Genomic DNA, 27173 nt, shown 5'->3' on the forward strand with positions numbered 1-27173 from the left:
ATGATCCCAAAAATCACACTAGTTCACCAGCAAAGGATCCAAACCAAGAAGAAATCCCTGACTTACGAGAAAAAGAATTCAGGAGGTTATTTATTAAGCTAATCAGAGAGGGACCAGAGAAAGGCGAAGCTCAATGCAAGAGCTTGTATCAAAAAAAAAAAGATACAAGAAGTGAAAGGAGAAATATTCAATGAAATAGAGTGCTTAAAGAAAAAAACAATAAAAAATTCAGGAAACTTTGGACACACTTTTAGAAATGTGAAATGCTCTGGAAAGTCTCAGCAATAAAATTGAACAAGTAGAAGAAAGAAATTCAGGCCTCGAAGACAAGGTCTTTGAACTAACCCAATCCAACAAAGACAAAGAAAAAAGAATAAGAAAATATGAACAAAGCCTCCAATAAGTCTGGGATTATGTTATATGACCAAACCTAAGAATAATCGGTGTTCCTTAGGAAGAAGACAATTCTAAAAGCTTGGAAAACATGTTTGGGGGAATAATCGAGGAAAACTTCCCCAGCCTTGCCAGAGACCTAGACGTGCAAATACAAGAAGCACAAAGAACACCTGGGGAATTCATTGCAAAAAGATCTTCACCTAGGCACATTGTCATCAGGTTATCCAAAGTTAAGATGAAGGAAAGAATCTTAAGAGCTGTGAGACAGAAGCACCAGGTAACCTGTAAAGGAAAACCTATCAGATTAACAGCAGACTTCTCAGCAGAAACCTTACAGGCTAGAAGGGAGTAAGGCCCTATCTTCAACCTCCTCAAACAAAACAATCTTCAGCCAAGAATTTTGTAAACAGCGAAACTAAGCAACATATATGAAGGAAAGATACAGTCATTTTCAGGCAAACAAATGCTGAATTCACCATTACCAAGCCACCACTACAAGAACTGCCAAAAGGAGCTCGAAATCTTGAAACAAATCCTGGCAACACATCAAAACAGAATCTCTTTAAAGCATAAGGCACACAGGACCAATAAAACAAAATATAAGTTAAAAAGTAAAAGCAAAAAACAAAGTATGCAGGCAACAAAGAGCACAATGAATGCAACAGTACCTCACATTTCAATACTAACATTGAATGTAAATGTACTCAATGCTCCACTTAAAAGATAAGGAACTGCAGAATGGATAAAAGCTCACCAACCAACTATCTGCTGCCTTCAGGAGACTCACCTCACACATAAGGACTCACATAAACTTAAAGTAAAGGGGTGGAAAAAAGCATTTATGAAAATAGACACCCAGACAAAACAAACTTTAAAGCATCAGTGGTTAAAAGAGACAAAGAGGGACATTATATAACAGTAAAAGGCCTTGTCCAACAGGACAATATCACAATCCTAAACATATATGCACCTAACACTGGAGCTCCCAAATTTATAAAACAATTACTAATAGACCAAAGAAATGAGATAGACAGCAACACATTAATACTGGGGGACTTCAATACTCTACTGACAGCACTAGACAGGTCATCAAGACAGAAAATCAACAAGGAAATAATGGATCTAAACTATGCCTTGTAACAAATGGACATAACAGATATATACAGAACACTCCATTCAACAACCATAGAATACACATTCTATTCAACAGCCCATGGAACTTTCTCCAAGATAGATCATATGATAGGCCATAAAATGAGCCTCAATGAATTTAAGAAAATTGAAATCATATCAAGCATTCTCGCAGACCACAGTGGAATAAAATTGGAAATCAATTCCAAAAGGAACCCTCAAAACCATGGAAATACATGGAAATTAAATAACCTGCTCTTGATTGAGCATTGAGTCAAAAACAAAATCAAGATGGAAATTAAAAAATTCTTCAAACTGAATGACAATAATGACACAACATATCAAAATCTCTGGGATACAGCTAAGGTGGTGCTAAGAGGAAAGTTTATAGCCCTAAATGTCAACATCAAAAAGTCTGAAAGAGCACAAACAGACAATCTAAGATCATGCCTCAAGGAACTAGAGAAATAAGAACAAACCAAACCCAAACCCAGCAGAAGAAAGGAAATTACCAAGATCAGAGCAGAACTAAACAAAATCAAAACTAAAAAAAGTACAAAAGATAAGTGAAACAAAAAGCTGGTTCTTTGAAAAGATAAATAAAATTGATAGACCATTAGCAAGATTAACCAAGAAAAGAAGAGAGAGAATCCAAATAACCTCACTGAGAAATGAAACAGGAGATATTACAACTGACACCACCGGAATGCAAAAGATCATTCAAGGCTGCTATGAACACCTATACACATATAAAGTAGAAAACCTACAAGAGATGGATAAATTCCTGGAATTCCTATCCATCCAGAAGAAAAAATGTTTATTCCTTCCTCATATACTTAGATTCCAGAAGAAAATCTAATATGAGCTTATTAGGTCTTCTCATCTAGAAACTTTCTGCCTCACCAGGCTCCTTGTACATTGTTTTGACAATTTTGATTAGCTAATCTCCAGCCACACTGAACATCAATCTGTTCCTTACGTATGTCATAACCTATTTAATCTTAACTGTTTCACTTTCTATAATTGTTATTTGGTAATAACATTACCTGTCTCCTAATTTTAAGAAAGCCTCTGGAGTATCTTTTATTCCTTCCTTTCAACCATCTACATTTACTTGTTTAATGAAGTGAGGAGGCTGGATTTTCTAGAACAGTTCTAATGTATGCATTTTTTTCCAGACCTAATTAATTTTAGATTAACAAATTATAGTGGCCGACATAGTGATCTCCATATCTCTGTTTATATCAGTTTGTTTATTTGTTTTATGTAATTGGCATTCAGAACAGAATTCTGTCTTTGTGACCACAAAGTGTTTTTCTGGCGTCATGTACCATCTTTCCTGGATCTCTTTCCCTTTGTGGTTTTGGGTTAGAGTCTACCAATGAGAGGCACTGATATAAGATTTGGAAGGAGACGCCGATACTATCCTAAGTGCAGTTGTCAGCAGATGCATAAAGGAGGGCTGGGCTTGGGGATCCTGTACAAATGACTGAGATGTGCTATGGCTTCCTGGTGAGCTCCTTTCAGTAGCTGTTTCCATGACCTTTGTTCTCACTGCTCCAACAGTTGTGAGAATCTCTAACTTCTTTTATTAAAACCTCTCCTATTTGTAGTACCTCGAGTACATGCATGCACACATTTTTGTAATATCTGTGAAGACCTCATTAACATTTTTATTATAATTAAAAGTGTAAATTCTTATATCTCATCTCATTGTTCATTATATACCCTACACACACACACACACACACACACACACACACACACACATCCATGCCCTCTCCACAGTCAGGTAAACTAGATACAATCTCAAATAGAAATAATAAAATGTTCTGAGTGTAATTATGGCTCTAGTTATTCCCACAATAATCAGAATCAAACGAAAAGGGCAAATATAATTTACTGGGCCCAACTACTTACACAAGAGCTATAACATGTATGAAAATTTGCAGACCACTTTGGTTAGCTTGATCCCATCATGGTGATAAATCAAGACCAAAAATCATCATTCCTAGACATTCAAAAGTCACTTAACAAAGGTAAAACATCAACAGTGTGAAATGTCAAGACAGACCTTATGTTGCAGACCATAAATGTAATGTCACCTAGAGTTAGGAAGTAAAGGTAAGAAATCTTTAGCTGAAGTTTGGAATCCCCTCACATCTAAAGGATGAGTCTCAAGAACATTAGTAATCTCCCATGATGAGGCCCATTATGGTATATAGATTCTCTTAAACATTCTAGATTCTGTTTAATCTATTTCTTCACTAATTTCACTTCCAGAAATATACATGCCCTTTATCTCTATGCTGATTTTTCACAAAACAAAGGGTTTTTGTAAAAAGCAACCTTTTCACAGGACTTACTGCATCCACAATGGTGAGTAATAGAAAAACCACAAAGTGGCATACACTGAACAATCAGAAATTTCCTTCTCCAGCTAACAGGCTCACTGTTACAACCTACCTTTCAATGTGGACCATTAAAATTTATGTCTCAGTATAGTAAGTGACAGATCAGTAGTAAGTGCTAATTTCACAAATACTCAGGGCTTGTCGCATCTCAAAAGACCGTTGGCCCTCACAAAAGTCTGTCTTCGTCATCCCCATCTACCTTTGGGTGCTCCCCACTCTACTATAGTTGCACCTGACAGTCACCCAGGAAATCTGCAGTTTATCATTGCTATCTATCCTGGGTTCTTTATTTTTCTCAATCCCCTTTAGATGATCTGGGTTGATTTCTGGCTTTGGTCAATATTTCTTATTGCTGGTGTTATGTCATGTTTATTTATTGTTTAATTCCTATCAGTCAGGCATTTGCTACATGTCACTCAGTGTACATGAGGCACTGGGAACTGCTGCAACTTCTTTCCACCTCTACAGCCTGGTCATAGCTTGAGTAAGTCTCTGACCTCTATAAGAGATCACAGGACCTTCTAATTCTCTCATTGAACCGTGTCCAGCCTGTCACACACCTTAGATTATGGAGAGATCTAGAGCTAACTTTTCATGTTCCAACACAAAGAAACTGGCTATTTTTAAACACAGACTTTGTATCAGGCTCTGAAGATACCCCTGTGAAATAGTCACAACTATTAAGAAATTAACAGTGGAATGGAAGAGACAGACAATTAAACAGGCAAAAACACTCCATCTTGATAAATTTAGATATAAGTACTAAGAATGCTACTAAACACCTAGAAGGGGCAACTACTGCAGTCTTGGGGTATGTTTAAAAACATACATCTCTGGGATGTTTTTAATCACTACAGCACATATCAAATACACAATTATCACCACCAATATGTAATGAAATGGAAATTGAACTGAAATGTTGCTCATGGAATCTACCTGTGTCTGTAAATCCATAAATTAAATTTATGAAAAAATAGTTTGTTGAGTGATATATGAGTTAATGTTTAAATTGTTTGGGCCCACCTTCTCTAGCCCAGCTCTGAGGACTTTTCTTTGCTGTTACAACATCTCTTCCCTGATACACATTAACTCACGAGGATGAAATAGGGTTTCCGGACTCTGTGATGTCCAGAGTTCTCAGTCACCCCAACCATTGCATGCTATCTATCTTAAGGGTAACCTTCTAGAAGCAATGCCTCACGTCTTTCAGATTTTTATAAGGCTCAGACTGGGCTGGGCATGGTGGCTCAGGCCTGTAATCCCAGCACTTTGGGAGGCTGGCAGGCAGATCACCTGAGGTCAGGAGTTTGAGACCAGCCTGGCCAACATGGTGAAACCCCATCTCTATTAAAAATACAAAAATGAGCTGGGCATGGTGGTGGGCGCCTGTAGTCCCCCAGCTACACGGGAGGCTGAGGCTGTGCTTAAACCTGGGAAGCAGAGGTTGCAGCGAGCTGGGATTTCACCACTGCACTCCAGCCTGGGCAACAGAGCGAGACTCCATCTCAAAAAAAAAAAAAGCACATTGGATGGCCAGGCACAGTGGCTCACACCTGTAGTCCCAGCACTTTGGGAGGTCGAAGCGGGCAGATGACCTGAGGTCAGGAGTTTGAAACCAGCCTGGCCAACATGGCAAAACCCCATCTCTACTAAAAATACAAAAATTACTCAGGTGCAGTGGTGGACACCTGTAATCCCAGCTACTTGGGAGGCTGAGGCAGGAGAATTACTTGAGCCCGGGAGGCAGAGGTAGGTTGCAGTGAGCCAAGATCATGTCATTGCACTCCAGCCTGGGTGACAGAGCGAGACTCCATCTCAAAAAAAAAAAAAAAAAAAAGGGAAAAAAGATTCAGATTGGACAAGTGATTTCAATGGTGGCTATTTCTGGTCAAGTGAAGGCACTGATACAGACCACAGCTGCAGGCAGCTTAGCTTCCCAATGTGAGCCTCTCAGGGAAGCATATGCACCTGGTAATCACACCGCTCCACCTGGGACTAGACGTGTTCACATCCAAAAGAAGCAATCATATTTTAAGGGGCTTGTAGTTCACAAAGTCCTTCTGTTCTAGAATCTCTTTGGATCCTCACAATAGCCCTGAAGTTCAGATGAGGATACTTGTTCTGAATGATTAAATAAATTGACTGGGTCAGGCCAATAGTGAGGGCAGAACTTCCTGATGGCACAGCCTGGGCTCAGCCCATCCTCCTACAGTGTTTTCTGCTTTCAAGGCTTTGATGCTATGAAGAAAAGCATATACCTCACAGTGACATTACTGTCTAAGAAGCAGACAGCTTGGCACCATGCCTTGAAAGAAATCAGACATATATTTTTGAATAAAAATATCTACATCGCAATTTCTAATACAAGTCTTTTCCTTCTTGTTGATTCATCCTCAAGTTTTTGGAAAAATGAAATAAGGCATGAGCCAGAACAACTGGCAAAATAAGCAAAAGTATAGCGGGGTGTGGGAATGTTGTTTTCCACAACTTTGTCAGAAAAAGAAAGCCAGAGAAAACAGTACTTCCTAAGAAGCTTCTTTGACTCTACTCCACGAAAAATTGATAAGAAAAGTATACATCGTGCTGTTAAAAATTATCTCCATCTGTGGAGATGAAGCAGGCATCAAGTTCACAGTTATTCAGAAAAGTGCTGGTGAGGCAGTTGGAAGCAGCAAGCAGAGCCAGTGCCGACCAAATTCATGCCCATCAGAGCCCTGAGCGTTAGGTAGAAAGGATGAAGCTCTCTGCCTGTTTGTAGTGTGTTTCCCCAAGGCCTCCTTCCCTAACTCACTTCTTATTACAATACTACTCCCTGCCGGTGCAGTGACTCACACCCGTAATCCCAGCACTTTGGGAGGCCAAGGAGGGCAAATCACTTGAGTCCAGGAGTTCAAGACCAGCCTGGCCAACATGGCCAAACCCCATCTCTACTAAAAATACAAAACTTAGCTGGGTGTAGTGACGGACGCCTGTAATCCCAGCTACTTGGGAGGCTGAGGCAGAAGAATCACTTGAACCCAAGAGGTGGAGGCTCCAGTGAGCCAGAATTGTGCTACTACATTCCATCCGGCCGACAGAACAAGACTGTGTCTTTAAAAAAGCAAAAGTAAAAACAAAAAAAAAGCAATACAACTCCCTGTATAGGTTTTTATTATTCTGATACTGTGCTGTAATTGTGGAGAGTTACTGGACAAATCTTTTATGTTTAGTTATTCCAACGCATACAATAAGGACATGTTATTTGAAGAGAAAACAAACCTGCTCTCTGAGTGCTGTGATGGTTTCCTGAATTTCCGCTGCAAACGTGCTGAAATCTTGGGAGAACTTTGTTTTTGCCAGAACTGTCACATTTCTAGCATCTTCACCCACATATATTTTATCTTGTTGCCTATTTATAACAAGAAGCAAATAAAATGCTGAAAAATAAAAGTCGTGTGAGAATTTTAAAATATCATCAAATCTTCTTTGGTCATTTGGCATGTACAAGGCATTGTGATTGGTGTTCTTTGTGATCTTAAAAGGAAAATGGTATGAGTGGAATTCAAAATTAAAATTAAATGGCAGATAAGATGATAATCCAGAGTGTCACATCTGGTTCATGTAATTTATCTAAAATAATAAGAAAGTATTTCTTATGACATAAAGGAAATTTCATGTTGTATTACATATATATTTGATATATTATTTAGACCTTAAAGTATTTCTTTTGCTAACGAATTCTTCATTTCACTTTAAACAGTGAAAGAGCAGTGACAAATTTAATATAACATATTATCCAGTAGCCAGGTAGGGAAGCTGCTTTCTCTATTATAAATTCATGGCAAGAACTAAAATAAGATAAGGATACTATGAGTGACAAAAATCTAACCTTTAACCTGATGCAAAATAGCTCAGTCTTGTTGATAATAAAAGGATATAAGGAAACCTTGGGTTGAATTTAAGATATGTTTCTTTGAGTTTACTGAAACTTTCAAAAAACAGAAGCAAATAACTAATTTGGGAAATAGAAATGAAAGTTCTTTCTATTTACAATTATCATGTATTGTTAAAAATATTTTTAGATAGATTTGATTTATTGGGTATGATATCTGCATTTCAAGTGCTCTTACGTTTTTCCAAATTTTGTAAAAAGTTGTTCCTTGTGAAGAAACCATTATAACTTTCAAAATTGTTCTGCTTTATTCTATTTGAAATATGTCTTCCATTGTTTACTAAGAAAATGGCTTGCCAGAAACAGTACATTCTATGAGCTTGTAAAACAAGTCATAAATCAGAGACATAGTATAGAGTTTACATTAATCAGGGAATTTAAAAAAGGGAAACAAAGAAAAATAACAAAAGTTACCAACAGCAGTAGTTTAGTCACTGGATAACTCCATGTCCTCTGAGGCACTGTGAGCTAGAGGCACCATGAATCAGTACTGACCACATGCTAGCTTCTATACAGTACTGTGTTAAAACAGTTTAAATATACAAGTATTGTTAGGGATAATATTAATGCAAATGGTTGGACATTTTACTTTCATAATGCTCTCTTCTGTAAATCTTCAGTGTCTAATCAAAGGTATTTAATCCTGAAGAAGCCTGAATGAATGTATGAAGATATAACCAACAGTCAAAAGACCACACGTGGGAACACGGGGAAGTGGCTGATGTTGGTGAGCCCAGATGTTGTGGAGTAGGACGGTATTCACAATTTAACAAATATGTGTGGGTATGGGCCATGCATCAGGCATTCTGCTCAGGTAGATGGGTGCAGGATGTGAGGGTGCTGCCGTTAGGCTCCTCACATTCTTTCAAAGCAGAACAGTTGGCAAAGAAGCAAGACACATAGCATCTGCATTAGGAAGACAAATAAGAGGTATAACCTTGTATTTATAGGCAACAATACTACATTTTAAGCTTTACTGATGTACAACTGATACACACAAAAACACACATATTTAATGTATACATTTTGATGAGTTTGGACATGTGCATATATACCTGTGATATTACAAAGTACTAAATATAAATATATTCACCACCTCCAAAAATTTCCTTATTTTTTTTCACGTGTGCATGTGGTTTGTTTTGGTTTTTGTTTGTTTATTTTCATGATGATACTTAATATGAGATGTATCTTCTCAATCTATTTGAAACTATACAGTACCATTTATTAACTATGGGTACTAGGTTGTGCAGCGAATCTCTAGAACTAATTTGTCTTGCATAAGTAAAACTCTTTACTCATTGAGCAACAATTCTCCATTTCGTCCTCCTCCTAGCCCCTGGCAACCACCATTCTATTCTCTGCCACTAAGAATCCAACTATTTTAGATACCTCATATAAACAGAATCATGCAATATCTTCCTTTTGTGACTGGCTAATTTCACTTAGCATAATGTCCTCTAGAACTACAATGACATAGCACCTCACACCTGTTAGGATGACTATTACCAAAAAACAAAAGATAACAAAAATGTTAGTGAAGATTATACAACGTTGGTGGAAATGTGGGTTGGAGTAGCCACTGTGGAAAACAGTATGGAGACTCCTCAAAAAGCAACATGGAACTACCATTTCATCTAGCAATCCCACGCCTGGGTATACAGCCAAAATAATTGAAATGAGGATATCAAAGAGATGTCTGCACTCCCATGTTACCTGCAAAATTATTCATAATTAGCACAATATGGAAACAATATAAGTGTCCATCAATGGACAGATGAACAATACTGTATTGTACACTGACAAATGTGTTAAGAGGTATGATCTCATGTTAAGTGTTCTTATCACAATAAAATAAAATTAATAAAGTAAAATAAAATATATAAAAAATAAGGTTTTACCCATAAAAAATAGTATATGCTATTTAAGAAGATTTGCAAAATGCAGTAAAGTATAAGAGAAAAATCATCAGTACTCAATTAAAAAATAGGGGAGGGATGACCTATATTCATCAGAATAAACTTTTAACATAATTATTTATATTTTTAGTTTATTATTTCATTTACAAATAGGTTTTTTCCATAGTAAAGGTAGCACATGTTATTTTAGAAAAAAATTGTTTAAGCAGAAGTTCAGAAGAAAAAAATACCACTTAAATTAATCAGGAAAAATGGTTCTTTCATCTCAAAAATTACTTTGCATTGTTGATTTCTGATTGAAAAAAAATTAGAAATCTCTGAAAACACACAATATGAAGAATAAAATCCACGATAGTCTCAAACAAACATGAATGCATAAATAAGTAAGAAGGCAATGCCCTCTGCCTGGGAGCAGAGCAGTAATGAGTCTGGGAAGCTGTGTAAAGAGAATCCCACGTCAGGTCCATGTAGTTAGTGCCTGCTCTGCGCAGGCAGGAGTCGAAGTGCTAGCGTGCACTCTGTGTCACTTAACTGCCTAGTAGTTCTATAAGACACTATAACTAGCCTGTGTTTCAGGTAAGAATACTGCAGCTTAGAAAGTTGTTAACATGTCCACAGTATATAGAGCTGTTAAACTGCACAGCTGGGATGCTGATTAAGATTCAAAAAAAAAAAAAAAAAAAAGGGCCTTGCTCCTAACCAGTACACAGTCTATTTTCCATCCATAGAGAGTGGTGGGTGATTTAAAGAATGATCAGGTTTACATTTTAGACAATTTGGAAGGATAGAAGAGAGGCAACGAGCCCAGGTAGGAAGGTTATTGCAAAAAATGAAACACAAAAACCCAAGACACTGTGAATGTTGCTATATTTTGGATTCTTACCAAAAACATAAAACTCAACATATTGCTTATAAAAAAAGACTCTTGGATACTGTATTGAAAGCTAGCTTTAATTTGTGACCAAGACAGAAGAAAGAAAAGATAGAGAAGAGAGGATAAGTGCAAGTAAAATGGGCACACAGAGAAAACAAGAAGTGAAATTACAACCGCAATTCTTTGTGCATGTTGGTTGAGGGAATTTGACCTCCTCTGGTCTAAACAACTATGGTACATTTAAGCACAACAGAAACAATCTATAAAGGATTACTAAAGCGTGTGTTGTTATAAAACAAAACAAATCAGAGCTCTTCTTACCTTTTTATTGTCAGATTAATGATAAACTGAACTCATAATTGTAAAGTGTATGTTTGAGTAAAAGTTTGATAAGATTGGCAGGAGGCTAAAAATAAAATTAGCCAATCTTTAGCTGAGGCAACATCTGAGCTGGGCTTCAATGGGCCACCCAGAGTATTAAGTGTTTCGGTAATAAGTTAATTTTATCTCAAAAACAAGCAAAATGAGTCTTTGAGGTAAAACCTGGGTGTGGCTGTAGAAAAGGACAGAAGGTAGTAATGGGTGTTGTTATCCATGCCTGTGCTTGTGGACACCACTGGAAGGGACTGATCCCCATCACCATCTTATAAAACAAGGGAAATTGCCCTCCAATATTTGAGTCCGGTACCCACTTCTGATGACACACTGGTAAAACGCTTCACCTGAATCAATGGAAAAACAGATGAAATGCCAAATAAAAGGGCCAAGTGAATGTTTCCAACACTCAAATTATTTAAAAATGGTTCTCACTAGGACTCCAACTCCTGATCAGAGTTCCAATTACCTTGCCTGGATTAGCTCCAGGAACACAAAATATATTTCATTTCCTCACCCTGGAATTTACAGCTCTTCACTCTTTGCCTCAACCTTCTTTCAGAATGTTCTGGAAGAATGTTCTTCATTCCTAGTTATTGAACACACCAACTCATTCATTCATTCATTTTGGGTTTTTTGTTTGTTTTTTATAGAGGTCTATAGACAGTCTCGTTCTATCACTCAGGGTGGAGTATAGTGCCGTGATCGTAATTCATGGGAACCTCAAACTCCTTAGCTCAAGACATTTTCCTGCCTCAGCCTCCCTAGTAGCAGGGACTACTGGTGTATGCTACCATGCCCAGCTAATTTTTTAAATTAAAAAAAAAAAAACTTTTTTAGAGATGGAGTCTCACTTTGTGGCCCAGGCTGGTCTTGAACTCCTGGCTTCAGGTGATGCTCCCACCTCAGCTTCCTGAATATTTGGGACCAACTCATTTAGACACATGAATTGTACCATTCTCCAAACACACCTCACTTCCCTTTGCTCATGTTGTTCTTTCAGACTTGGACTCCCCTAAATGCTATCAAAATCTTAGCTTATCCTTCAAGAGCCCTCCTCTGTCTACCCGGTCAAAGGGCCCCAATAAGAATTAATCACCCCTTGCTCTGCACTACTCACTCCATGATTGGATTTCACTTCAGTACTCATATAAGCACTTTCGTTAAGTGAGTTAATATTTGTTTGATGCTTAAAAGAATGTTTGGCATTCAGTGAACACTACAACAGCATGTGTCATTACAGAATGTGTGTTACAGAATGCCTGTAAAATGCTAGGTACTATATTAGTATTCAGTGCTTTACATATGTATCCTCAAGTTAAGACAATAATCCTGTAAAGTAGGTATTACATGCCCATTTTACAGCAGAGGAAATGGAGATTTGGAAATTTTATATAACATGCATAGTTATGAAGCAGTAGAAACAGGATTTGAATCCATGTGCCTGACTCTAAAGCCTTCACACTTCTTGTCCAACAACACTATCTCCTCTCCTCAATTTTAAAACTTAGAGTACAGGGCCCATATATTGTTCAAGTTGACAACTGTAATTGAAGAAATGGATGCCAAAAATGGATTTTGAATTTGACTAAATTATACTACTTAGAAGGCAGCTATGGACAACAAAAATAGGATACATGGTTCCTTGAAAGAACCTGCATGGACTATGAAGCTGTGAATTGCAATGTTTATTTTGGTAACTTAATTTCACAAGTATGTACTGACTCCTTATTCAATGAAAAGGAGCTACTGGACATACCTATGCTCAAGGTAGTGTTTCTGCTTTCAGAAGCTTCCAAGTCAATGGTAGGGAGAAACTTTTTAAGGCAACACTTTGTATCAAGCTAATATACAAGCTACACAAAAGAAGTCCTAAGGGATTTCAAAGGAATAAGACTGACATTTCTCAATTTTCTAAGAGTTCAAAAATATTCCATCTTGGTCACAAATCAAGCCTTGCTTGCCATATATTATTCATGAATTCAAATCAACTTAACATGAATTAGCTTAAATAGATACTATTACCTTTCTCGCAAACAATATGCTGTTTCATATTTTCAAAAAGAATCTGAAAAATATCAACTCATAATGTCATTTAAGGGATCAAAACTAGCATCTAATACACTTAGTTTTCTGCACTTTACTGAGAAAAATTCATTGCCAAATACGCTCTGGTTGGGCTATTGCAGAGTGAAATGGAACCCAAACACATTACAGAATTCATTCTGTGTTTTCTCCTTTTCATGTGATTCATCCTATATGTAAATAAGTTAACTGTGGTCTCTATTAAAAAAGATAAAAACAAATTGTAGGTTTGAAGCAAATCTATAGTAAGTTGCCTAAAGAAATGAGATATTTCTATACATACCTACTTCTTAGATGACTTAACTCCATATCCTTATCAACAGGATAGCTGTATTGAGCTGAGCGTTTCTTTTGAGACTCTTGCGTCACTGCTCTGAACTGTCCTCTACTCCTACAGTCTGTGGGGAAAGAAGTAACCACAATAGCATCATGTGAGATGCGATGTCATGATCTCATCTAGATCATTTCTTTAACAGTCAGAGAGGGCAAGAGTACCAAGAAGAAAGAGTAGAGAGCGAGAGTGAGAGAGACTCATTTAGTCCGTTCCATTTTGCTGGGTGACCACAGTCTCAGATACCTGCTTTTGCATGTCACTGAATCTCTGTTTTGCAGCAGCAAGTGGGATGCAAGGCAGTCTGCAGAACCTCTGGAGGAGCCCCAGGCAGAGTGATGCTGAATCTTACTTAGTAAGGGCATGGATTGCATGGTGTCTTTTATTCACTAAGGACTTGGCACAATGAAGAAAGAAGCAGGACAGTCCTGAGTGGAATGCTTGAAATTTGGCAACTCCTCAAAGTGTCTCAGGCACACCTGATACCCACTAGGGATTTGTTTTTTAAGATACCCCCTGTTGCACAACTGTACTGTGTCCTCCAAGTGGTTAAAATTGTAAGTTTTATGTTATGTGTTTTTATCACAATCAAAAAGATATGAGAATAACATGAAAAACTTGTTGCAAATAAATATGGAACTTTAAAAAGTGGTCTCTGATATAGTACGGATATCCCCCTCAAACCTGCTGTTGAGATGTAATTCCCAGTGTTGGTGGAGCCTGGTGGGAGGTATCTGGATGTGGGAGCGGCTCCCTCACGTCTTTGTGCTGTGCCTGCCATAGTGAGTGAGTTCTTGGAGATCTGTCGTTTACAAGTGCGTGGGACCTCCCGTACTCTCTTGCTCCCACTCATGTCATGTGCCCTGCCTCCTGCTCCCTTTTGCCTTGGCCATGAGTGAAAGCTCCCCGAGGCCTCCCTAGAAGCTGAGCAGATAACTTGCACCAGGCTTCCAGTATGGCCTACAGAACTGTGAGCCCATTCAACTGCTTTTCTTTATAAATTACCCAGTCTTGGGTATTTTTTATAGCAATGCAAAAACTGCCTAATACACTCTCTAAAATTTCATATGAAAACAGATGGTCTGGAAACTAAGATATTTTGAAAATGAAAAAGAATGACGTAGGAATCAACATTCTCAGATAGTAAAACTACTATATATGAAGTTCAAAAATAAAAATTCTTAATATTGGTGGGAAAATACCTGAAAAAATAAAACAGGATAACAACCCGAGAGCATCTTACCATGCAATCGAATTTAACACATTATATTAGGCAGCATAAATTGGAAAATAGGCAGAGAGTACTTTTGTTCTGGGCAGCTAGCAAGTTATTCTTAAAAGAAGAGAAAGTGAAAACCACTTACATCTTCACCTTATCATATGTAAATTAAATTCAAGAGGAATATTACATGAAAGATTATTAAGCTAACATGAATATGAAATTTAGGATGATTTTTAAAATAACACAACAAACTGCAAATGCTATAATGCTAGACAAAATAAGAGTAAAACTTATACATATGAACTCACTGGTATTAAAACATACCAGAAATAAACTAAAATGAAAACATCCCAAAATTACCACAGTGACATTGTCTAGAATACTGGTTATGGTTGTTACTTGTTTTCTTTTTTATTTCTACTTCTACCTTTTGTTTTCAATTAAAAACGTCTTTATTTATAAAATCCAAACACAGTTCACTGAAGAAAATCCAAGCCTTCTTATAAGGTTTACAAGTTAATTATCATATTGTTGTATATTACCATAATTGGATAAAAAATTTCTGGAGGCCGGGTGCAGTGGCTCATGCCTCGGCCTCCCAAAGTGCTGAGATTACTGTCATGAGCCACCGCGCCCGACCTATTGCTACTTTTATAACGGTGAAGTCAAGACATTCTAGATAAAGCTGTACATTATACTAAGGGACCCACAGGTGCTTATTTTCCCCTACTGTTATGCTGTTACCTCGACTTAGTACTTTACTGATAATTAATAACGCATAAATATTTGCAGCTCTGAGTAAAAAAAAAATACATAGAAATATTTACGAAGAATACAACTAAAGAAAGTGAACTTCAATCGTAAAATGAAACTCAGTCTTTCTATTTCTGAATAGCACACAGCTTTTGTCAATAAATATTTATGGAGATCTTACTGAATTAAGGTATTAGGCTAGGCACTGTAGAGAAAATAAAAGTGGATAAGGCATGGTTCCTGATTTTCAATAGGTTGCAAGTATTCTCCCCACTACAATGCAGCATCTCCGGCTAAGCCAAATATCTTTCTTTTCAATTCTCATATAAAAAGGAAAAAATATAGAGAAAAGGCTCTGCAGATAAACTCTCATCATCTATGGTCTTTCATTATTTTTTAGAAAGATGAAGCTTTAGAATTTATTTACTTTAAAGCACCAATAGATTGTTCAAGGTCATATAAATAAAACCCAAAAAGCAAAGAATCATGTATATAACACTGCAGGTATACACAGATGAGTACACCTGAACAGAAACAACCCACCAGACTGCAGTGACATGGCAGGTTTCTTGTAATGTGACAGCTAAAATGTTGTAGTTCTGACATCATTTCTTTTAATTCACTTCGTTATTTATTCCTGGATACTGCCAAAGAAGCAGAGTATTCTTGATTGCTGAATGTTTGGCTCTTAAGCAAACAACATTACATTTACATTTAAATGCAATGTTAGTATAGTAGATGCTTTGATTTTATCCCTATGCATATTTATCTTATATAAATATATACATATGCATACATATATATCTATGTGCATGTGTATATATACATACATGTTTTCAAGCTCTGTTCTTAGGCTTTACATGAGTTATTTATTTGAAACTTTACAATAACCTATACTCAATATTATCTTCCCTATTGTTAACCTGAGGCACAGAAAGATTATATTATCTTGTACAAAGTCCTACAGCTTTTCAACAGAAGAGACAGGGTTTAAATCCGGACAGTCAGACTCAAAAGCCATAACACTACAGCACAGAATGAGGAAAACAGAAGAAAGTTAACTCCTAGATTTCTGGCTTATGCAACTTGCAAATAATAGGGTCATTATTTGTTAACTGAATGAATGGATGGATGAGTCTAGTGTGGAAAGTAAAATGAAATGACTTAAATTTAGATCAGCTTAAATTTCTGGTCTATGTGTGACATGCGGGTATGAATTACAGCAGATAGGGTGTTTGAAGACGGCAACAGATGTGGATGAAGATACAGCCAGATAACTCGTGTTCAAGAGGCATAACGGTGGGTGGGTGTGTGTGTGGGGGTGTGTGTGTGTGTGTGAATCTTCCCATTCAGGGCAGCCTTGGTTGCCCCCACCCTGACGCTGCTCCTGCCTTTGCTTTGTGAATGGTGACCTAGATTCTTAGTGGGTGAAACAAGGTTCTTCCCTATGCAGCACCTTCTTGCCTCTCCAGTCTCATTTCTCCCTAATGCACAATCCACAGCCAATGATCCTGCTCCAACTTCATTTGGTCTCACTTGAGTGACAAATGCCATAGGTGTCATGTCAGCCTTCTCCAGGAAGCCTTTCTTAACTGCCAAGAGCAAGTCGAATGTAAACTCATTGCACTCTCTCAGCACTCTCTGGATACATTGGGTCTTACTCCTCACATTCTCTGAGAAGAGCAGAAGAGAAGGGCCTTGTCCTACCTACCGGTTAATCCTCAGCACATGCTTGTGGCAGGTGCCTAGTAAATGCTTTAATAAAACTAGAAAATTCTCAAGACAGCAGGTTGCTTTCAGAATATGTCTGAATATTGCAGTTCATTGGAGTGGATTGACAGTCCGTGGTGAATAAACAAGGTCAAGTTTGGGAGATTGAGCTACAGTAGCTCAGGCAATCCTATGTCTTTCCACGAATTGATCAAAACTATGCAACTTTGGAACACTAGTATCCCAATGCTGCATTCCATAGATTAAAAATATGTCAAAATTGATTTTTCAAATTGGCAAAAATATATCTGATTTTTATTTTCAACACTTTCAACACCTCTTATTTGCTTGCAAAAAGGGGAAAAGTACAAATAACTGAAAGCAAACTTACAAAACTGACAATAAATTTGAGGGACACTTTGAGAATGAATGCATTCATATTGCATATGAAACATCTCTGTTGTCTGGGGTATATACCCTGGTTCTTTATCTCTTACCGAGAAAAAATTCAGGACACGGACACACACGAGGAGTGGGTTTAGAGGCATAAAGTTTAATAGACAAAAAAGAAGAGAAAGAAAAAAAGCTTCCTTATGCTGGGAAAGCTGGTCGCCCAAGATAGGGTCTCTGGTTTGGGACGGAATGCAATCAATTTTGTACAGAGGCTTGAGGAGGCAGTGATTGATTCGCATAGGGCCCAGGGGATTGGTCTGACCAGGTATGCCATTTAGATAACCTAGGAAAAGACTAGCCCTCCCACCCTAGTCTTTTATTAGCAAATGCAGCTTCTTTTTTTTTTTTTTTTTTTTTTGAGAGGGAGTTTCACTCTTGTCGCCCAGGCTAGAGTACAATGATGCGATCTCGGCTAACTGCAACCTCCGCCTCCCAGGTTCAAGCGATTCTCCTGCCCCAGCCTCCTGAGTAGCTGGGATTACAGGCCCACACTACCCGGCTAATTTTTGTATTATTAGTAGAGACGGGGTTTCACTGTGTTGGCCAAGCTGTTCTCGAGCTCCTGACCTCAGGTGATCCGCCCACCTCGGCCTCCCAAAGTGCTGGGATTACAGGTGTGAGCCATCGCGCCCAGCCGCAAATGCAGCTTCTACCTGGCAGCGGCCATGACACCCGCACACGTGGTGACAAGGAAAAGGGAGCAGGAACCGCCATGTTGGATGGACTTGGCTCTTAGCCACATGTATTTACACATGCATATCTATGCTTGCAGCCTGACCTTTCAGACTGCTTTTTGTTAGAGAAGAAATGATTTGGGGCTGCTTTTTATTAAAGGAAAATTCCACCGAGAACTTTTACCCTCGCTAACTTCCCAAAATAATTTCTTAATAACTCCTGTATTAATAGCAAAGTGGCTTCTAGTTCTCATAAAGGAACTGAGTATATTAATACATCATATCTTTAGATGATGTTTCACCTCAATTAGAATCAATACTGAACTATCCCCACAATTGTTTTGAAGTGAGACGGTTCCAGTAGCACCCCATTAATATTTCTTCATACTCTTACTGGTATTTCACTTTCTTATTACAATTGCTTTAGGAATCTATCACAGTGTTAACAGGTTACTACAAATGCAATGGCTTAAAATGATACAAACACATTTTTATGGATTGCTGTGTATTCCCTCAAAATTCATATGTTGAAATTCTAATCCCCAGTAACTCAGACTATAACATTATTTGGAAATAGGGTTGTTGCAGAGTAATTCGTTAAGAGACCACACTGGAGTAGATGGGCCACTAATTCAACATGATTAATGCCCTTATAAATAGAAGAAATTTGGACACAGCCATGAACACAGAATACTGTGTGAACATGAAGGTAGAGGTCAGAGAGATACAGCAGAAGCCAAGAAACAATGGATGTTGGCAAACCATGAAAAGTAGGGTGAGGGGCATAGAATGCATTCTCCCACACAGCCCTCAGTTGGAACCAGCCCTGCCAGCACTTGATCTTAGACTCCCAGCCTCTGGAGTGGGGAGACACATTTTGCTGTCTCGTTTGTGGTGCTTTGTTACAGAATCCCAAGCAAACTACCACACGCAGCACATCACACCTTCCGTGGCCAGAATGCAGGACTCCTGGCACAGGTTAGCAGGTCCTTTGCTCAGTCTCATGAGGCTCCAATCTGTTAGTTGGGCTACATTCTCATGTCATCTGGGGCAGAATCTGTGTTGGCAGAACTCACTTCCTCGTGGTTGTGTTACTGAAGGCCACCTGGAGGCCACCCACAGTTCCCTTCCATGAGGCCCTCTCCATAATAAATAAAAATCAGAAAAATGTTATCTCCACAACATAGTGGTTTGCTTTCTCACAATCAGCAGGGGAATCTTTCTCCCTCCATCTAGTAAGACAGAGTCTAATATGAGGTAGCTTCATCATGGGAGGGACATTTCATCACCTTTGCTGTATTCTGCTGATTAGAAGCAGGTCACAGGTTCTGCTCTCACTGAAGAAAAGGGATGACATGAGGGCGTGACTCCTCAGGGTTACATTAGTGTGTGGTCATCTCAACAACCATCCACTGCACACTGCCCTCGACTTACTCTCATGAATCAGGAAGATAATTCCCACCATAAAAAAAAATGTACTGTAGTATGGAGATTTTGCAAAAAGCTAAAAATAGAACTACCATTTGATCCAGCAATCCCACTACTGGGTATTTACCAAAAGGAAAAGAAATCATTATTTCAAAAAGGCACCTGCACTCATATGTTTATCACAGCTCTACTCAAAAGAGCAAAAACACGAGATCAACCTAAAAGTGCATCGGTGGATTAAAAAATGTGGTATATATACACCATGGATAATATGGTTTGGCTGTGTGTCCCCATTCAAATCACATCTCTAATTGTAAGCCCCACATGTCCAGGGAGGGACCTGGTGGGAGGTGATTGGACCATGAGGGTGGTTTCCCCCATGCTGTTCTCATGATAGTGAGGGGGTTCTCACGAGATCTGATGGTTTAAAAGTATGACACTTCCCCTTTGCTCTCTCTTCCTCCCGCCACCTTCTGAAGAAGGTGCTTTCTTCTCCTTTGCCTTCCAACATGATAGTGAGTTTCATGAGGCCTCCCCAGCCATGTGAAACTGTGAGTCAGAAACCCTCTTTTATTTGTAAATTATCCAATCTCAGGTAGTACCTCTATAACAGTGTGGAAATGGACTAATACAATGGAATAATACTCAGCCATAAAAAGAGTGAAATCATGTCTTTTTCAGCAATGTGGATGGAACTTGAGGCCATTATCCTAAGTGAAATAACTCAGAAACATAAAAGCAAATAGCACATATTCTCACTTATGAGTGGGAGCTAACAATGGGTACCCATGGATAGACAGAGTGGAATAACATGCTGGAGACTCCGAAAGGTAGGAGAGTGGGAGGAGAGTGAGTATTGAAGATTACCTATTGAGTACAATGGTACAAAGAAGTATACAACTAAAAAGCATTCCTATGTCTCAAGACTCCAAGAAAGAAAATGGCTACAATCTTCTTCTAATTTTCAATTTCATTTTTCTCTCTTTGTCATTATTGGAAAAAGCATGTTATTATTATGTTATTGTGTATATTACTATGTATTATATATATATTATACCTATATAATACATACTAGATATTAGATGAATATATAATTTCTTATAGTTATTACTTCTCCTTCCTTTATTTTTTAAGCCAGCTATTAGATTTATTCATCAATTCCACTTATATCTTTATTCAGGCTTTCTCAGTACATTCATATTTATTTAGCTGTCTTTTCTCTAACATCTTAAGCTGTGTGTTTTATTAATTTATTTTTATTATTTCATTTTTAATAAAACTACAAGTTTGTTTCTGTATTTACCTCTGTTACCCATAAATTTTGATAATAATGTTGTAATTAATATTTTTAGATATTACACTTCTTGATAAAATATTTATTTGGTCTAATGACTAAAAAATTCTCAGTAGCTATTTTCTTTTAAATTTGATTATTTTAGATTAGTTGCACTGTGGTAAAAGATAATGAAGTCTGCTTCTGGGAATTTTAGTGTTCCTAGTGACCTAGCATATAATCAATATTTGAGAATCTTTATGAATATTTGAAGATAAAGTTAATTTTAGCTTATAGGGACAAAGTTAAAGACATCTTTCACAAATTGATCTCATTAGTAATATTCAGACACAATTCTATTAAGCTGTGCTGAATGGATGCTAAGCTATTTCAAAATTGAGATTGAAATAAACTTCGTTTCAGTGAATGCTTTTCTTACTTACATTCAACTGTGTATTGTTATTGCCACTCCTGTTTCTGTGTGCCTGACTTAACTTTGATGTATGCTTTTATATGTGACCATTATCAATATTTTGCTTATGTATGGCCCTTGTTAATGGTATAGAGTTAAAAGCTGCTTTTTGGATAGATAAAGCAGTCTTCGACTTTCAGTAATTCTCTTAATGCACTGAAACTTCAGGCACATTTGGGTCTTATGAGGATTTTAAGATTTTTGTTCTTCAATGTTTCCTTTAAACTCCACATTGTTGGTTTTCCCTAGTGATCTGCAGAGCATATATCCTGTTTACCAAATATTTTGCCTTTTATGGGAACATATTTGAAACCAAATTTCATTAATTATCAATGTCATACTTTAACAATATTAATAATTACAAATGTAATGAGGATTTCTAAATTTTCTAATTTTTATCATTTATCATCATGCTTATGCTAAGTCAATTTTATCAGTAGAATTTTGACTTATTTGATTATGGCACAAACAAATGGACAATTACAAAATTTGCTGAAATAAGTAGATTGGTAACAAGGACTTGTGAATGTTGTTTAATTGCACCTGCAATGCCTAAAGTATTATGCGAACACTCTTGATCCTACTGATTAGCTGATATGAAAAATTAGCTTAAATTGATGTTAAAATGTCAAGATTGTTGCATTTGTAATTCATTAGCATAAGATTCTAAAAGGGAAGGTCATCAGCTAAAGACAGTTCTCATGTTTACTAAAAGGCACATATCTAACGGGAAAATACTAAGAGGAACATATCTGATGGGAAAATACCAAGAGGCACTTATTTTATGGTAAAATAAAGTTCTAGTATTAAGAAACCATTTTCTTAAATTAAGCAACTTGGTGAAGCCCTGCTAATGAATTACCTAATCCTGATATAGAAAAATTTTTCTTTCTTATGTGATAGAATAGATTGTAAATAAATGCAGAATGCTGTATTTGGAAGATAACTTATCCTTAGAACTTATGAGAGGGTTATTTTCAAGGGAATGCTTTGTACTCTATGTAAAGTCAACATCATCAGTAGAGTTTGATTAATCATCTATATCACTGAACACTCATTCTGTTTTGTATCATTTCAGGGCTATTATTTGCCCTTTTTCCTACTGTAATGTTCTCACCTTGATTTCAACAAGTTTTTCACACAAGATATTAGGTACTAACAGACCCAAGGAGAGTGGGAGATGTCCTTATGGTGTTCTATTAAAAATAGCAAAAACTGTCAAAGACAAACCTGAGATCACTGTTGCAATGTAATTGCTTCATTAAAGCTTTATAGGAGTTGCAGAAATCTTACTTCTTTAGTAATACTTCGAAGGCATTTTATAAGTTAAGCATGAAAATACTACAGTGTCATGAAATACGATGGTAATAAAATTAGTCTCTTATGAAAGAAATTAAACTTTCATTAGTTCACAAACATAAGCACAATTTATTTGAAAGAAAGTCATGAGCAAACCTAAATATATTTACATTTGTACATAAAATATACTGTATTTACAATTACTTGATGCTCTAAAGACAGAACTTAATGTGACGTATGCAGCTGGAAATTACAAGACCACATGGTTCAATAAATCCCAGTAGAAAATATACATCTGTTGACTCTTTGTGCAATTGTTTTATTTGAAGGAAGTTTTATTTAATCGAGTGGTATAGTGTCTTAGTACGTCACTTATCTTGTCTTAGGAAACATCCCACCTGCCTTAGGTGTAAGTTTTTAATTTCTAAAATAAATGAGAGTAAATCATTTTCTGTTCTATATTGAAGAGAATGCTTTCTGCTCTATGCAAAGTCAATTTTATCAGTAGAGTTTTGACTGATTTATGACACAAACAAATGTGTCAATTGTAGAGTTTGCTGAAATTAGTAGATTGGTAACAAGAACTTGTGAATATTATTTAATTGCATCTGTAATGCCTACAGTATTATGCAAAGACTCTTGATCTATTGATTAGCTGATACTGAAAATTAATTTGATGTTAAAATGTCAAGACTGTTGCATTTGCAATTTTTTAGGACAAGATTCTAAAAAAGAAGGCCACCCAGCTAAAGAAGAGTTCCTATGTTAACTACTGGTGAAAGAGATTTGGAGAAAATTACAGAAAGTATAACGAAAGGAAAACTAACGACGAGGTCACATGGTGGGGTGAGGAAAACAAATGGACTTGGCAATGGGGAGTCTGAGCTCTATCCCTAGGTCTGCTAATAAATAACTGAGAGCAAATTACTTAAACCTTTCCAACTTTTGCTTCCTAATCTTAAGATGAAGTGTTGGTTTTTTTGGTCTTGTTTCTTAGTCAAATACTCTCTTAGGCCACCTCCAGCTTCAAAAATCTATAACTGGCTGGGTGGGGTGGCCCATGCCTGCAATCCCAGCACCTTGGGAGGCCGAGGAGGGCAGATCACCTGAGGCTGGGAGTTTGAGACCAGCCTGGCCAACATGGTGAAACCCCATCTCTACTAAAAATACAAAAATTAGCTTGGTGTGGTGGCGGGTGCCTGTAATCTCAGCTACTCAGGCGCCTGAGGCAGGAGAATCACTTGAACCCGGGAGGTGGAGGTTGCAGTGAGCCGAGATTGCCCCATTGCACTCCAGTGGTGATAAGAGTGAAACTCCATCTCAAAAAAAGAATAAAAAAAAAAAAAAGAAAATCCGTACCTAAGATAGCTAAGGAAAGAAAAGAACCTAGTAATTTAATGTGAAATGTTCTGTAAAGTATGTTAAGTGATATAAAATATTAAATCTCAAAGAAAATTTGAAAATTTTTGCTTTATCTTTTATGCTGGTAAAATAAGATTCTTGGCTTTCTCGTTATAGTCATTCATTTATCAATCTTGGTTACTGTGATCTTTTGATAACTACAAATTTAGCATTTGTCTCATGAGGTTTCCCTTTTCCCTTTTCCTTAAAAGAAAATCCAATCAAACAACATTTTGAACACTTGCTGCTTATCACTTCACCAGCTACGCCTCTGTCGGAGCTCTCTTGGTTCCTTATCTTTTCTTAATATTTTCAGTGGGCACTTACTATTCCCTAGGCCTTACCTACAGCACTGAATTATTATGTTTCTGCTGGCTAAAAGAACAAAAACTCCAATCAAGCAGCTGATTCATCTGATAATTATCCCCCAAACCACCCTACTGTTTATATAAGCTCTGAGTCAACTTGTAAGTTGTTTTGACATAATTTGGACACTGTCAATGGAATAGCATTTTCTCAAGTACCCAGAAAAACAAAAACCCCTCCTCATGGACAACAAGCAACATAATCTTTGGCCAGAATATCCCATTATTTGAATCAGAATATAGTCTCATTATCCTTACCAGTATTAATCCTTCCAGAGTGCTGTATTAATGGACTAAGTTATAAGTATACTGGTTTTCTCCTATGTATCTTGTACCAAAGACATCCATCTACCTGAGGCAAGAGTACACACAGAAGCAGCACAGAACTCCTGGACTGCCTCGCCTCTGCCATGTTTCCACATTCTCTGGTACTACTGATGGCAGTTCCTGTGCAAATCACAGCATTCCCAGAATGACTTCCAGTAAAATGCTGGGTGGCCCAAAGATAAGTAATTATACAGAGAATATCAAGAAGTGGTCCCTGAAGGAGGTCATCTAAGCAGACAGTATCTGATGTGGCTTCTTCAGATGCATTTGCACATATTTTTTCATACATATTTAGATGCAACTTGCTCATATTGACAAAATCAGAGTCAGTATACACACACAATAGAGAGTATAAATCTATGTGTCAAAATAACATGGGCAGAGAAATTAACCCACAAGGTAAAAGAAAGAAGTTGGCAACACCAGAGTGGAACAAATAGGATGCCTAGGGAAGAAAGGATCCCTGACTTTTTTTGGAGATTAACCACATGATTTTTATTTTTTTCCTAATGGAGGGCTTGTAGGTTTGTTTTTGAGTAGGTAAGAAATATAACAGATTGGACAATTCTGTCAATATCCACAACATACCTTTAAAGCTATGCCTACTTCTGGGCATCACACTTTAATAAAGACCTTGATGAATTATAATGTTCTGAAAGAAAAACTGATAAGTAAAATCAGAATAATGAAGCAACTCTAAATCATGCAGCATGAAGAAACTAGGGAGTCTGGGATGGAAGGTGTCTGTTTAGTGCAGAAGAAAAGATTCATTATAAAAAAGAAAGCCATCTTCACAGGATAAACATGATGTCACACCAAAGGAGAATTAGAATTATCCCACGTTTCTCCACAAGGAGAAAAATGACCAAATAGAAACCTATTATGATAAGTTTCATCTTAGTATAAGATTAAAAATGAAACCTAATGAATTATCTTTAAATGAAATAGATTCTCAGATGATGTGGGCTCAGAGCCCATGGGATTTCATCTTCTCTCTTCCCAGGCTAAAAGACAGGAGGGGGCTAGCTGAAACAGTAAACAGGTAGTACCAGTTTTGCTTTTTACTTACGATAATCCTGAGGATCCTTCTAAGAGCTTTTTCGTCTTCAAAGAAATCAGTGTTTTAGAACTGAATTCCAGGTCACCCCTTGGTTTCAGATCAAAACTGGTTTTCTCAGACCTTGTGTCGGTACATTCCTGGCCCCCATAATAGTGTGTAAAAAAATGATTAAACAGGGTCTTCTGTGACCTTGAAAAACCAAATATGCTGATTAATGCTGTCAGACAGGAAAGCTCACATGCCTGTGCTCTCCCTGAAGAGCTCAGGCCTTGATCAGCATGTACCTCAACCAAAGACAAGAGGAATGGTCTCGCCTGGCCCCAGCATGAGGTCCTCATCACAGGACGCTCATTGCAGCACGCGGACAATGAGCTCACAGGGATTTGGGAGCACGGTGCCCTGAAGATGAGCACCCCAAAGATGGGCCTTCTTCCCCTCCCCCACAACCCCAGGGGACAGGCCTCCCCTGGGCAAGTGGCATAGGAATATAGAGGCCACAGTGTGCTTGAGAGGACAGGGGAACCCTGGGGAAAAATGCAGCACACAATCCTCCTAAAGGCTGCAGGCCTGGGGGAACCACGCCCAGCCCTGCTCAACTGAGGACTCAGAGCAGCTTACCTCTGAAAGGGCTTCATGTTCAGATTTCTGGCCGAGAGCTTCTGCCCTCAGAGTGTGCAGTGTGTCTCCACTTCTCAGAAAGCCAAGAATGAACTGAATAAGTGGGTTGTCTTCCTGCTTTAGCCTACGGGAGGCTGATGTCATAGCCCAGCCCAGTGAACCTGTCTCCTTCTGCTAGGTTTCTGCCATGGAGATAAACTTGACAACTTGAGCCAAGATAAAAAAAGTCACTGTCCATGAAAGGGTCCCGAATAGTTATCAGAGAGAGGAGCCACTTTCTCAGTGAAAACATGACCCAAGAGACAGAGATGACAAAAGAACATCTGTTTAAAATAGTAACAATAATAAATAATAATAATACAAACAGGGCATTTCCAATGCTGCAGAAAATGATGTCATAAAACTTAAACAGATGATCAGATGATGTTGGAACTAAGAAGTTAAATAGATAAATTTAAAAGGAGGTTGATCTCTGTTGAGACTGATTAGTGAATTTGATATAAGTGGTCATGGGCAAAAAATATATCAGAGCATTTAGCAAAAATATAAAAGAGAGTAATATGAAGGAAAAGAAAAGAGATTTGGAGGGTAGACCTAATGCTCAAATAAAGAACGTTTCAGAAGGAAAAAAAAATATTTGGAGGACACGTACAGATATATAC

General features: G+C 37.6%; 1 protein-coding gene across 9 annotated transcripts in view; it reads right to left on the minus strand.

Moving 5' to 3' along the window:
* Positions 1 to 27173, minus strand: part of PXDNL (peroxidasin like) — a 489869-nt gene that overhangs the window by 12848 nt on the left and 449848 nt on the right. For 8 of the 9 annotated variants that reach the window (XM_047421364.1, XM_047421365.1, XM_047421366.1 and 5 more), the window contains 2 exons: positions 13409 to 13523; positions 7200 to 7329 (listed from right to left, as the gene is read on the minus strand). The exons of the other annotated variant lie outside the window; for it this stretch is intronic. In XM_047421364.1, coding sequence (XP_047277320.1) covers positions 7200 to 7329; positions 13409 to 13523 — 245 coding nt within the window. The remainder of the gene's footprint in view (positions 1 to 7199; positions 7330 to 13408; positions 13524 to 27173) is intronic. 9 annotated transcript variants of the gene reach the window in all.

This window comes from Homo sapiens, chromosome 8 (assembly GCF_000001405.40).
Source record: "Homo sapiens chromosome 8, GRCh38.p14 Primary Assembly".
NCBI classification, from domain to species: Eukaryota; Metazoa; Chordata; class Mammalia; order Primates; family Hominidae; genus Homo; species Homo sapiens.